Genomic DNA, 13,202 nt, shown 5'->3' on the forward strand with positions numbered 1-13,202 from the left:
GCATTTGCCACTTTATGTCCTCTCTTGAGAATGCTTTATACATTTGATGGGGCAGAGTCAAGACCCCAAAGTCAGGCTCCAGCCAGCTGAGAGAACTTCTTCTATTCTGCAGGTAATGGGAAAGACCAACGCTAATCTCACTTTTGTTTGTTTGTTTTGTTTTTGAGATGGAGTCTCACTCTTTCACCCAGGCTAGAGTGCGTGGTGCGATGTTGGCTTACTGCAACCTCAACCTCCTGGGTTCAAGTGATTCTCCTGCCTCAGCCTCCCGAGGAGGTGGGACTACAGGCATGCACCACCACATCCGGCTAATTTAGTATTTTTAGTAGAGATGGGGGTTACACCATGTTGCCCAGGCTGGTCTCGAACTCCTGACCTCAGGTGACCCGCCCACCTTGGCCTCCCACAGTGCTGGGATTACAGGCATGAGCTACTGCACTTGGCCTAATCTCACTTTTAAACCCACTGACTGTCTACTTAGCTGTCTTGCTTTCTATAACTGCTTTTAGCTTTAATTGTCTACTTCTCTCTTTGGTACATAACTATGTAGAGGCTTCCTTGTATTGTTACTTCAATGGCTCATGTTTATTCATTTTTGGTATTTATTGAGTGGGCAGGAACTGGGTTATTATGAGCAGTTGTAATATGATGAATACAGACCCTACTCTCATAGAGCTTACAGTCTAAGAGAGGTCAGGGATACATGAAGAGATCATTATATGTGTTCGTTCCTTGTTTTGCCAACTTCCTCATAAGGATAGGGCAGGACTCGTATCTATTATTTTGCATCCTTTGAGTACCAAGCATATAGACAATATTCAGTAAATACTTTTTATGTTTCCTGTTAGTAAGTCAGAGTTTGTTACTCTGTCTGCCATGGTGTCAAAGGCATCACAGGTACCTAGCCTCAAAGTAAAGAAGGAAATGAGATTGGGAATAATGCCTGCTTAGCTCTCTGTACACTCTGAAACAGCTGTCAAATCAGACTGTATAGCTCCAGATGTCTGATAGACTGGGCCAGCTCCTGCATTCCAGTCCTTCTTCCTGGGGGCTCAGATGCTCCCGTTCTTGGTGAGCCACCCTACCCCATTGTGAAAACCCTTTTCAAATAAGGAAAAGACCAAAGAGGAAAGAACAGGGAGCTCTGTGGCTAAACTGGCTTCAACTCTCAGGGTTGAGAAACCGTTTTCCAACCCACCTCATTAAAGAGAGTGGGAAAGTAAAGACTTTATCTGAGGCTCACTGGAGTTCAGTCACAAACTATTGTTTTAGTTTTCTTGCTAAATTCTTGATATCTATTGCCACTGGCTGATATATTTTACCATTGCTCTCTTAGGAACTAAAGTGCCCAGTAATTCAAACAAGTATATTTTGAGATTGTTTGGGAGTGGTTCTCTTCAATTACTAATTTAATTTCCAACACTCCTGGTCTTTTTTACTTTGAGTTAAAGTGAATGTTATTTATGCATCAGGATTTTCATGATGGAAATAGTTCTGTGCAGGGAAACTGAGTAGTTTAAAATGGACAGTAGACCTTATATTGGTCACCATCACTTGGTATTAATGTCATCTCATCCATCTAGGTACCCAAAAATTCAAATTAAAAAGTTACACCAATTAAAGCATGGTAATTTTGTCCATAACTTTCTTCAAAACTTTTATTTTTATATAGTTATCTATTTAGGTGCTTTATTTTTGTTTCAGCCAGCATGTTCTTCTCACATTTGTAGCAATTTGCTCATGATCTTAGGTCTTCTTTTTAATTTTCAGGCCATTGGAACATCCTTCTCACTTGTGTCTGGAAGGCACTCGGTAATGCCCCCTCCCCACCAGCGCTTACTCTGCTGCTGGACTAAGTCCTAAACCGTTTTTGTAGACCCAGTCTGGCGTTCCCCCATCTGTCTGAGACTCTCTCTGCTGGTGACTCTATAACTCATTTGTCCATCGAGTTCTCACCTTGTCATTTGGATTGGAAGGACACCAGTAGTCTTCAGGTTATAACTTCAGCATCATCTCCTGGCTCCCCCATTCTAGCAATTCCTTAATGTCATCTCAGGACATGCTCTCCCATGTTCCACTTAGAAGGAGACATGATGCTCCCTCCCATCAGACTTGATACAGGTTTGAGGTGGTACTCAGATGCTCTGTTCCTTAATTCAATTTAATTAATTTATTTATTTTGCTAATTAAACATTGATTTGTGGAAGCTGGTGAAATGGGTAGGACCAGAAACCAATCCAGAGGTGGGCTCAGTGCTGAGTGCTCTAGATAAGCCAAACTCAAAGTCTTAGCAGAATTAGAATATGCATTGACAGAAAACCAATAACTGCTATTTACAGCTATTACTTTAATATTTGTTGCTCTTATATTGTTTAAGTCATTTTTATAACAAAGATGAATTAACTGAACTGTGAAAAACATAATATTCCTTAAGGATTCTCTAGCCAAAGGAGCAATAAATTTCAAGGTAGAGAAAAAAGAATAAGTATTAAGACTGCATTCACCAGCAGGGCGCAGTGGCTCACGCCTGTAATCCCAGCTCTTTGGGAGGCCAAGATGGGCGGATCACGAGGTCAGGAGATCGAGACCATCCTGGCTAACATGGTGAAACTCCGTCTCTACTAAAAATACAAAAAATTAGCCGGGCGTGGTGGCGGGCGCCTGTAGTCCCAGCTACTCAGGAGGCTGAGGCAGGAGAATGGCGCGAACTCGGGAGGCAGAGCTTGCAGTGAGCCAAGATCGCCCCACTGCACTCCAGCCTGGGCGACAGAGCAAGACTCCGTCTCAAAGAAAAAAAAAAAAAGACTGCATTCATCTAGGCAGAATGAACCAGGAATCTATAATAAATTATCAGTTAGAATTAGGTTTAGCTGCAAGTAACAGAGACACAAAAAGTAATATAGTGACTTTAACAAGATGGAGTTGCACTTTTCTTTCATCTAAAAGTCTATAAGTCAGCCGGGCGCCGTGACTAAGCCTATAATCCCAGCACTTTGGGAGGCCCATGTGGTCAGATCACCTGAGGTCAGGAGTTCGAGACCAGCCTGGCCAACATGGTGAAACCCCATGTTGTCTCTACTAAAAATACAAAATTAGCCAAGTGTGGTGGCGCATGCTTGTAGTCCCAGCTACTCAAGAGGCTGAGGCAGGAGAATTGCTTGAACCCTGGAGACAGAGGTTGCAGTAAGCTGAGATCGTGCCACTGCACTCCAGTTTGGGTGACAGAGCAAGACTGCCTCAAAAAAAAAAAAAAAAAGTCTAGAAGTAGGCAGTCTTTGAAATCATCAGGGATTCAAACTTCTGTCTTTTTGTTTTCCTGTCTTTGATGTTCCATCTCATAGTCCAAAGTGGCTGCTAAAGTTCCAGCGATTACATGTGCATTGCAGCTAACAGGAAGGGATATTATATAAAGCTTAGTCATGTGGTGATACCTAGCTGGGAAATGTCTTTATTCCAGGTGACTAAATTTGTTCTGGTGGGGTTTATTCCAGGTTGCTCAGCTAAAAATCAGTATTATTGCAAGGAAGAAGGAAAGAATAAATGTTGGGGAATAGATAAATATGATGTAACTGGGAACTATTGGGAATAAAGTATCCATGAGAATTTAATGAAATCAAGTCTCAAAAAGTTTGTCTTTCCACGTTAAATACATAATTTAAGATATACATTAAACCATTTTCAGGAAGAGTTTTCTAATAAAGCTAAAAGCACCACTCTCAAGAACCTGGTGTCAGAAGCACATCACAATTGATCACTCTTAATGTAGGTGTTAGGAATGAAGAAGAGCGAGTGAATGTTGAAAACAAAGGGCCTCAGAGACTTATGGATAAATGGACTCTGGAAGGATAACAGCAGCCTGCCACGACTTGAGGAATGATTTTGATCATTGTCAGTGGAGTTACTCTGAATCACAGATTTGGGACTTAGGGAGTTTTATTTTAGTCTCATTCTCCTAAACAGCCTTTCTGTACTTGGCTTTAAAAATCAGAGAAAGAAATTTCAGCTCCAAAGGACAATAGTTTTTTTCAAAGGGGCATTTCTTCCTCTAAAATGAGTCAGTTGCAATCCTGACTTGCCATTTCCTGCAGCAATAATATAACCAGTGGTGCTCTAAGTTAACTTAATGGACTTACCTCACTATTAGGGAGTGATTTATGTACCGCAAAGAATAGAGTTCACTTTGTGTGAAGAAAAAAAACAAAACCCAAAGAACTTTCCACATAAACCAGCCCTCACCATCATATTTTGGCCCATTTATTCCCTCTGGAGGATGATTAGACCTAAACCCCTGGCAGGTGGGGACTCTTTTTCACTGGGTGTCCTCAGTGTCTAGCACAGTGGTCCTCATAAAGCTGGCTCTCCAAAAATATTTGTTGAAACAATCTGAAAATGGTTCATAGAGACAATGACAAAAAGCACAAAATAAAAATTAATAACACAGCTTTTTGTTGGTCTTAAATCATTTCTAGTAGCTCTAAGATAAAATGAATTCATAATAAGATGGTACTGATACTGAGAAGTCTTGAGTGTAAAGAAGTGATGAAGGAAAAATATTTATTTGACAACTGCCCTTCAGTGTGAAAAATCCATAGCTGTAAACCACAATGAAGCAAAGAAAACCTAATCTGTAAGAGCTTAAGCATTTTACCATACTAGAGTTCAGGAAACATGTCTATTCCTTTTGCTATTTCTGTTTGCCAGTTCTTCTGCCATTTGCCAAAATAAAGATGTCCCTTCTCCAGCCCAAACTCAGCTGCAAAGGTGAACTAATGACTTTAGAATAGAAGACAGATGCTTCCTGCAGGAGGATTCTGGGGGAAGACAAAGAATGTGTAACCAGTACTGGTTACAGTATTTGTGAGGCCCCGTGCAAAATGAAAACACAGGGCCCTTGTTTTGAAATCTGGGGAAAAGTGCCATTAAAGATACTTAAAGGTAAAGCTTTTTTCTTGCTTCCACAGTCTTTCTCTTGACTTGTCATGGTGTTGTTTGTTATTTAATGCTGGTCTAAGTGAAGAAAAATTAAAAATTTAAATTATTGGCATAATTTTTAAAAACCATTCATCTTTATATTATGGAATGCCAGTTTTAAATGCAAAACTGTATTTAGAACCACTGATATAATATAATTTGTATTTTGTAGCTTGTGCATGCATATGTATTTTGTTCTTACCAGAACACTGGAAATGATGCAAAAAACCTAACAACTGTTTTTTATTCCACTTTTTGATACATGCCTGTTCTACCAACACTCTGTGGAAGCCAGTGGCTCCCATAAAATGTTTATCTATTTGCTTCCGTCTTGCTGATCTCCCATGCTGGGTCCACTGGAATTCTCTGCTCATGGAACATCAGAAGGCTGTATGCAAATGAGGTGGCAAGGAACACCATACAAACATATTGTGCATATTGTTCGTGCACAAAATGTTTCTTTGGGCTTCACTTACAAAACAAGTTTAAGATAACATTATTATGAATTTCAAGATGGTGACCGCAGAGCATTAAACCAACCATGAGACACTTCTGACCGTGGGACTCTGTGACTGTGCACATCATGCACCCTTGAAACCAGCTCTGCATGTCACCAAGGTAAGAGTTGCCTTTCTTCTTCTTCTCTTTTTCAGTAATTTGAAGAATCAGTAATCACTGGAAGAACACAAACAAAATAAGCACATGCCAATGGGGAAGCATTAAAAAACAACTTGGTAATGGATAACTCAAGCCTCAGATGAATCTTGAAATGTGGTAAAAAAAAAAAAAATTAATAGAAAAAAAAAACACTTGTAGTCAATGTTCATTTGAAAGCCATCTTTAATCATGTAGTTCTGTGGAAAATTAGTGGTTAAATTTTTTAAAGAATGAATCGTTTCTGTTTTACTGCTGCAAATCTTACAACTTTTTAAATATGAACGTTAAAACATACAGAAAGGTAATATAAAAGAAATACCCTCATAATTTTAATATATTTTGAAAATTTATTGCATATATCTACCATTTTTATTTTAATTTTTAATTCAGGCTGATAATATAAGAATAAGCAAGATACCAATCTTGTTTTCTTTTCATACCCTAAAATTTTGTATTACTTTGTTGATGTAAGACAGCAACATAATAGCCCCAAAGGAAAATCTATTAAACAATTTCAATTTGAAGGGTTTAAAGAAAGAAACAATGGTAAGTCATTAATGTGTTTTCATTTTAATGTATCTTTTTTATATTAGGGTGAAAAATTCAGTTATATTTTCAAATGATCAATACAAACATAAATAACTATGTTATAATGATATGGATAATCATATGACAAAAGGGCTGTGATTAAGCTGTATGCCTTCTTTGTGAATATAAAAGTATTTCTGCAAAACAAAGATGTATTATATATTAACTAATAATTATTTACAATAAAATTAACCAAAAGCCAGGTCACCCTTGTACTTAATCAATATTCCTTAAAAACAACTTTTTCCAGCACACACACAATTATGCATTGAACATTTCTGAAAGGATACTCAAGAATGTGTTAATTAAGTGATTCCACACCACTGAGAGTGAGACTGACTGGGTGTTCAGAGGAAGAACTTTTACTTTTTGCCTTTTCCTCATCTTCTGTACTGTTTAGGTTTTTTGGTCATGAGCATTTTATTTTAATAATAAAAAATCTGGATAATTTTATAAGTCTAATTTTAGAAGGATAATAAAGTAATCCAGTGACTATGTATAAAATACATAGTATGTATTTGTACATTAAAATAAATACTGTAGTGGATAGCACACATTATACATATGTGTTGCTACAATGCTTTCATTTCAATCTTTAAAAATTTTTTTTAATTAAAAAATTTTTATTGCAAATTGCTAAGTTATAATTGTATATATTTTTTGGGGGTACAAAATGATTTCATGATTAATGAATATAATGTAGAATAATTAAATCAAGCTAATTAACATATTTATCACCTCAAATACCTATCATTTTATGTGGCGAGAACACTTGAAATGCACTCCTAGTGATTTTGGAATGTACAATACATTATTATTAACTATATTCACCATGCTGTACCCATAGAGCTAAAAAAAACCCCTTAATCCTCCTAATTGAGGATTTGTACTCATTGACCATTATCTCCCCATTTCTTCCACACCCCAGCCTCTGGCAACCACCATTCTACTCTCTGCTTCTATAAGTTTGAATGTTTTAAATTCCACATATAAGTGAGAACATGCGGTATTTGTCTTACTGTGTCTGGCTTATTTCACTTAGCATGTCTTCCAATTTCATCTGTGTTGTTGCACACGACAGAAATTCTTTCTAAGTCTGAATAGTACTCCATTATGTATATGTACCACGTGTTCTTTATCTATTCATCTGTTGATGAGGTTGGTTTTATAACTTGGCTACATCAATAGTGCTGCTGTGAACATGGGAGTGCAGACATCTCTTGGACACACTGATTTTGAATCTCTTGGGTAAATTCCCACAAGTAGGATTGCTGAATCGAATTTCATTCTTATATTGGTTTGAGCCACTTTCTAGCCCAGGGGGATCATTGCACTAATAATATCACTGGAGAGTCTCCAGAGGACATGTCTGCAAAGGGAGAAAGGCTTTTTGCAATAGCAGAGCTTAATTGTCAATGATGAGGAAGAGCGGTATCCATGAACCTTTTCCTGTCATATGTTGTATATAAATGATATTCTTCCAAAATTTTAAAACATTTTTGATGGAAAAATTCAAAGATACACAAAAGTAGAGAGAAAAATATAATGAACCCCCACGTACCCATCAACCAGCTTCATTAATTACCAATTCACGTCTAATCTTATTTTGTTCATACTGTACCCCACTCACTTCCCCACTCCCAGGTGCATTATTTAGGAGAAAATCCAAATATATCTTTTCATTCATAAGTATTTCAGTATGTATTTCTATAAGGACTCAAAAAAAGCAACCACAATACCATTATCACATCTTTTATAAAAAACCTAATAATTCCCTGATATTGTTAAATATCCAGTCATTGTCCAAATTCCCGATTCCTTCATAAATATGTATTTTAAAGCCAATTTGTCTATAGAATATTTTTTAGTCTAGATTCCCCCCTCCTTATATTTACCCTTTATTTGTTGAAGAAACCAGCTAATTTGTCCTGTAGGGTTTTCCATATTCCAGATTATGCGATTGCAACCCCCGTCATTGTTTAATATGTTTTCTGTCCCCTATATTTCTTGCAAATTTGTAGTTAGATATGGATACTTAATCAGAGCAGGTTCTATTTGAGGGAAGACTACTCCCTAAGTGGTATTGTGTATTCCCTATGCATCACATCAGGAGGCAAATAATGCCTGTTTTCTCTCTCTCTCTCTCTTTTTTTTTTTTTTTTTGAGATGGAGTCTCACTCTGTTGCCCAGGCTGGAGTGCAGTAGGGTGATCTCAGCTCACTGCAACCTCCACCTCCTGGTTTCAGGCAATTCTTTTGTCTCAGCCTCCCAAGTAGCTGGGAATACAGGTGCCTCCCACCATGCCCGGCTAATTTTTTTGTATTTTCAGTAGAGACGGGGTTTCACCATGTTGGCCAGACTGGTTTTGAACTCCTGACCTAAAGTGATCCACTTGCCTCAGCTTTCCAAAGTGCTAGGATTACAGGCGTGAGCCACTGCTCCTGGCCTGTTATCTCTCTTTTAGTGATGTTAACATTGATCCCGTAGTTTGGGAGCTATTAGCATAGCATATTGTAGTAGCCTCTTCACTGGTCTTCCCATTTTCCCTTTGCTCCCACCTCATCCCACCTCATCAAGGATATTCTTTATGGAGGGACTGAACTCTGTGTTGGCTGGGCAGTTTTGCTGATTTTGGCGGGGCTTGACTGTATGGCTTTTCTGATCTCAGCTAGGGCTCTCTCACAGTTGACCAGCTGTTTGCCTAATCTAGCGTGGCCTCCACTGGGACAGCTCATTTGTTCCTTGTATGTCATCCCACAGCAGGCTAATTCAGGCATGATCTTGTGGCAATCATAGGGTTCCAGGAGTCTTCTAAATTTTAAATCATCCGATGCATTAACAGATCATTCTTTCTTAGCAAAGCAAGTTATTCATTAGACTTCCAATTAATTTTCAATACGAGCATTCAATACAGATACAATATATGATAGATCTGACCTTTCTGGAGTTTTGGCAGTTCATTTTGTCTCTTATGTAATAGGATAAGGTTTATTATTAACATTTGCTAGTTCTTGTACTTACATAGCTTTATAGACTTTCTGACGTGATTAAAGGTCTTTATCATTTTGTTCTTGAGCTTGTCAGTTCAATCCACACCAGAATTCTTTATTTCCTTTAATTTGTCTCATTGACTCTTTTACTTCCTGCACAATTCTTCTTCTCTTCTTCTTTTGACAGCCCAAGCAGATTTACAGACAGTCTTGTTTTAGCTGTGCTGATGTATCTATTCAGTTTATCTCTGGGAGATTCAGAAGAAACCTGAAAATTCATGTTTATATGCTTTTGTGATATAACAAATGTTAGGCATTGACTGAGTTGAGAAATAAAAATAGAGGGATGGCAAACTCAGGCACATGTAGATGGAAGGGTCACTCGGGAAAGTGACCCTTCTACGAGATATGGAATATTTTCCCTGAATGTTGGAAGAAATTCTGCCAAATTATTTATTTCTTCCATAATTTAGTGTTTGGTTTCTTAAAGTATACAAATAAGACATATACATTTTTCCTTGACCAAAAGTAACACCATATTTTTAAGTTCTGTATCATATTCTACAAGCTATTTTAAAAATATCAATTTACTCATGCTAACAAAACCTTGTGGGATACCTTAGGAGATGTTAAATTTAGTCTATAGGTTAAAAAAAGCTAATGCTCAGGAAGTCGGCTTTCCTCTAACTAATGGTAGAGCAGAGGACGAGGTTAGAGCTCACAGGCCTAACTCTACACTTGGAGGCAACCCCTTGCTAAGTGCATACTCAAGGCAGAATAACTTATAGCCTGAACCTGAAGGATGTTACAATAAACTATTTTGCTTGGAAATTAAGAAGGGAAAGCTCTGGATGGATTTTGCTGAGCAACACAGTGATCTCCAAAGGTCAAGGAAGTAAAAAATACAAAGATAAATATGTTTTCAGAACTTAGCCAACTTCATGTGGGTCACCACAGCCTTGTGTGAGACAAGATAAAAAATAGTTAAAAACTCTAAAGGGCTTGAGTGGCTCACATTACACGTTCTTACAATCTGTCTTGGAACTCCAAAAAGCTTTTTTGAATACCATTATCACTAATCAGTTAAAAATATTAGCTTAACATGGATTATCAGTAAAATATTATCAGTTTAAAGATATTTCTTGAATGTCTTAACACTGTGCTCGCTATTTTCAAGGAGGAATTTGATGGAAATAAAGTTAATCCTAGTAACTTTTTAGAGACAGGAACTCCTTTTGAGTCATAGACCACTTAAGGATCTTTTGAAAGCTATGACTTTTCTCCTTAGAAAATGCATCTTTAGGCTCCAGCAACACATCATTGTGTAAGAAAAAATAAAAGTACTGCCTTAAAAAGAAAAGAAAAGAAAAGAAAATGTATCTTTGAACATATACTTAAATTTTACATTCAGAATTTGGGGTTTTATGGGCATTCCAGGAGCCCTTCCATGGATCCTCTAGGCCTGAGTTATGGGCTTCAGTTGTCCCTAGTGTAATGAGAAGAAACTAAGTATGGAATCAAGTATGTCCCTAACTTGCCATCTGCTGTTGTTCGTTTGTTTGTTTGAGATAGGGTCTTGCACTGTTGCCCAGGCTGGAGTGCAATGGCATGATCTTGCTCACTACAACCTCTGCTCCCTCTAGGTCAAGTGATCTTCCCACTTCAGCCTCCCAAGTAGCTGGGACTACAGGCGAGTGCCATCATGCCTGGCTAATTTTTGTATTTTTTGTACAGACGGGGTTTTGCCTTGTTGTCCAGGCTGGTCTCGAACTCCTGGACTCAAACGATCCACCTGTCTTGGCCTCCCAAAGTGCTAGGATTACAGGCGTGAGCCACCGCACCCGGTTGCCACCTGATCTTGATAAAGTCATTTAGTATCTTCAGGACTTAGTTTCCTCATCTGTGAAATAAGAAATATAACTAGATAACCTTCCAGATGTAACTGCCTTTGCTCTTTGGAGCTAATAGTCTGGCTGAGAAGATAAAATGGTCACAAAAAAATTCAAGACATTTTTTTCCCCTGATATTTGTTATAAAAATTTTCAAACAGCAAAATGGAAAGATTTTATAGTGACTACCCATATATCCATCACTTAAATTCAGCCATTAAGCTTTATTATATATTTATTCATGTAGCCATTTCTCTATCCATCCATCAATTTTTTTTTTTTTTTGAGATGGACTCATTTAACTCTGTTACCCAGGCTGGAGTAAAGTTCTGGGTGCGATCTCAGCTCCCTGCAACCTCCGCCTCTCAGGCTCAAGCAATCCTCTCACCTCAGCCTCCCGAATAGCTGGGACTACAGGTGCACACCACCACACCAAGCTAATTATTTTTTTTTGTAGAGACAGGGTTTCACCAGGTTGCCCAGGTTGGTCTCAAACTCCTGAGCTCAAGCAGTCTGCCTGCCTAGGTCTCCGGAAGTGCTGGGATTACAGGTGTGAGCCACTGCACCTGATGCAATTCATCATTTTATAAATATATTTTGCCTTTCCGCGCTACCCACAGAGGGATCCATACTGTGTTGTTCTGGATTCCCTTCATAACTTAAAGGAAAACGTTCACAATGTCCAGAGCCCTTGATGTCCTGCCAATGAAGGAGGAGGACGTCCTCAAGTTCCTTTCAGCAGGAACCCACTTAGGTGGCACCAACCTTGACTTCCAAATGGAACAGTACATCTATATGAAAAGTGATGGCATCTACATCCTAAATCAGAAGAAGACCTGGGAGAAGTTTCTGCTGGCAGCTCATGCCATTGTTGTCATTGAAATCCCTGCTGATGTCAGTGTCATATCCTCCAGGAAAACTGGCCAGAAAGGCACGCCGATATTGGCTGCTGTCACTGGAGCCACTCTTGTTACTGGCTGCTTCACTCCTAGAATATTCACTAACCAGATCCAGGCAGCCTTCCAGGAGCCATGGCTTCTGGTGGTTACTAATCCCAGGCTGACCACCAGCCCCTCACAGAGGCATCTTATGTTAACCTACCTACCATTGCTTTGTGTCACACAGATTCTCCTCTGTGCTATGTGGAAGTTGTCATCCCATGCAACAACAAGGGAGCTCACTCAGGGGGTTTGACATGGTGGATGCTGGCCCAGAAAGTCCTGCACATGCCTGGCACCATTTCCCACAAACATCCGTGGGATGTCATGCCTGATTTCTACATCTGCAGAGATCCTGAAGAGATGGAAAAAGACCAGGCTGCTGCTGAAAAGGCTGTGACCAACGAGGAATTTCAGGATGAACGGACTATGCCAGCTCCTGAGCTCTCCGCTACTCAGTCTGAGGGTGCAGACTGGTCTGAGGGCACATGCAGGTGCCCTCTGTGCTTATTCAGCAGTTCCCTACTGAAGCCTGGAGTGCTTAGCCTGCCACGGGAGGCTGGTGTGCAGCTCCCACTGCTCCGGCCACTGAATGGGTAGAAGCAACCACTGAATGGTCTTAAACTCTTAAGCTGTTCTTGCATAGGCACTTAAGCAACATGGAAATAATGCTGATGGAAAATAAACATCAGTTTCTAAATAAAAGAGAAAAATAAATAAATATATTTCAAAGTAAATCACAGATTCCGTATATTCGCCCTAAATATTTCAGCATGCATATCAAGTTCAATATTTGTTTATAGTTTTCTTCTTTTGATGTAAAATGTACTTATGAAGGAATGCACAAATCTTAAGTTTACATTTGTTGAGTTTTGGCAAATAATATCGTTCTTTATAACTCAGGGGTCCCCAGCCCTTGGGCCTCAGACTGGTACTGGGCCACACAGCAGGAGGTGAGCCAGCACTGCTGCCTGAGCTCTGCCTCCTGTCAAATCTGCAGCAGCGTTAGATTCTCATAGGAGCTGGAACCCTATTGTGAACTGCATGTGCAAGGAATCTAGGTTATGGTGCTCCTTCTGAGAATCTAACTAATGCCTGATGATCTGAGGTGGAACAGCTTCATCCCGAAACCACCACGCCCATCCTCCCTACTTCCCTTCCCCCTCCCC

At 39.1% G+C, this 13,202-nt stretch overlaps 1 pseudogene; it reads left to right on the forward strand.

The window, feature by feature from the left end:
- RPSAP25 (ribosomal protein SA pseudogene 25) lies at positions 11,698–12,733 on the forward strand (annotated as a pseudogene).

The sequence above is a fragment of the Homo sapiens genome, chromosome 2, assembly GCF_000001405.40.
Source record: "Homo sapiens chromosome 2, GRCh38.p14 Primary Assembly".
Lineage (NCBI taxonomy): Eukaryota > Metazoa > Chordata > Mammalia > Primates > Hominidae > Homo > Homo sapiens.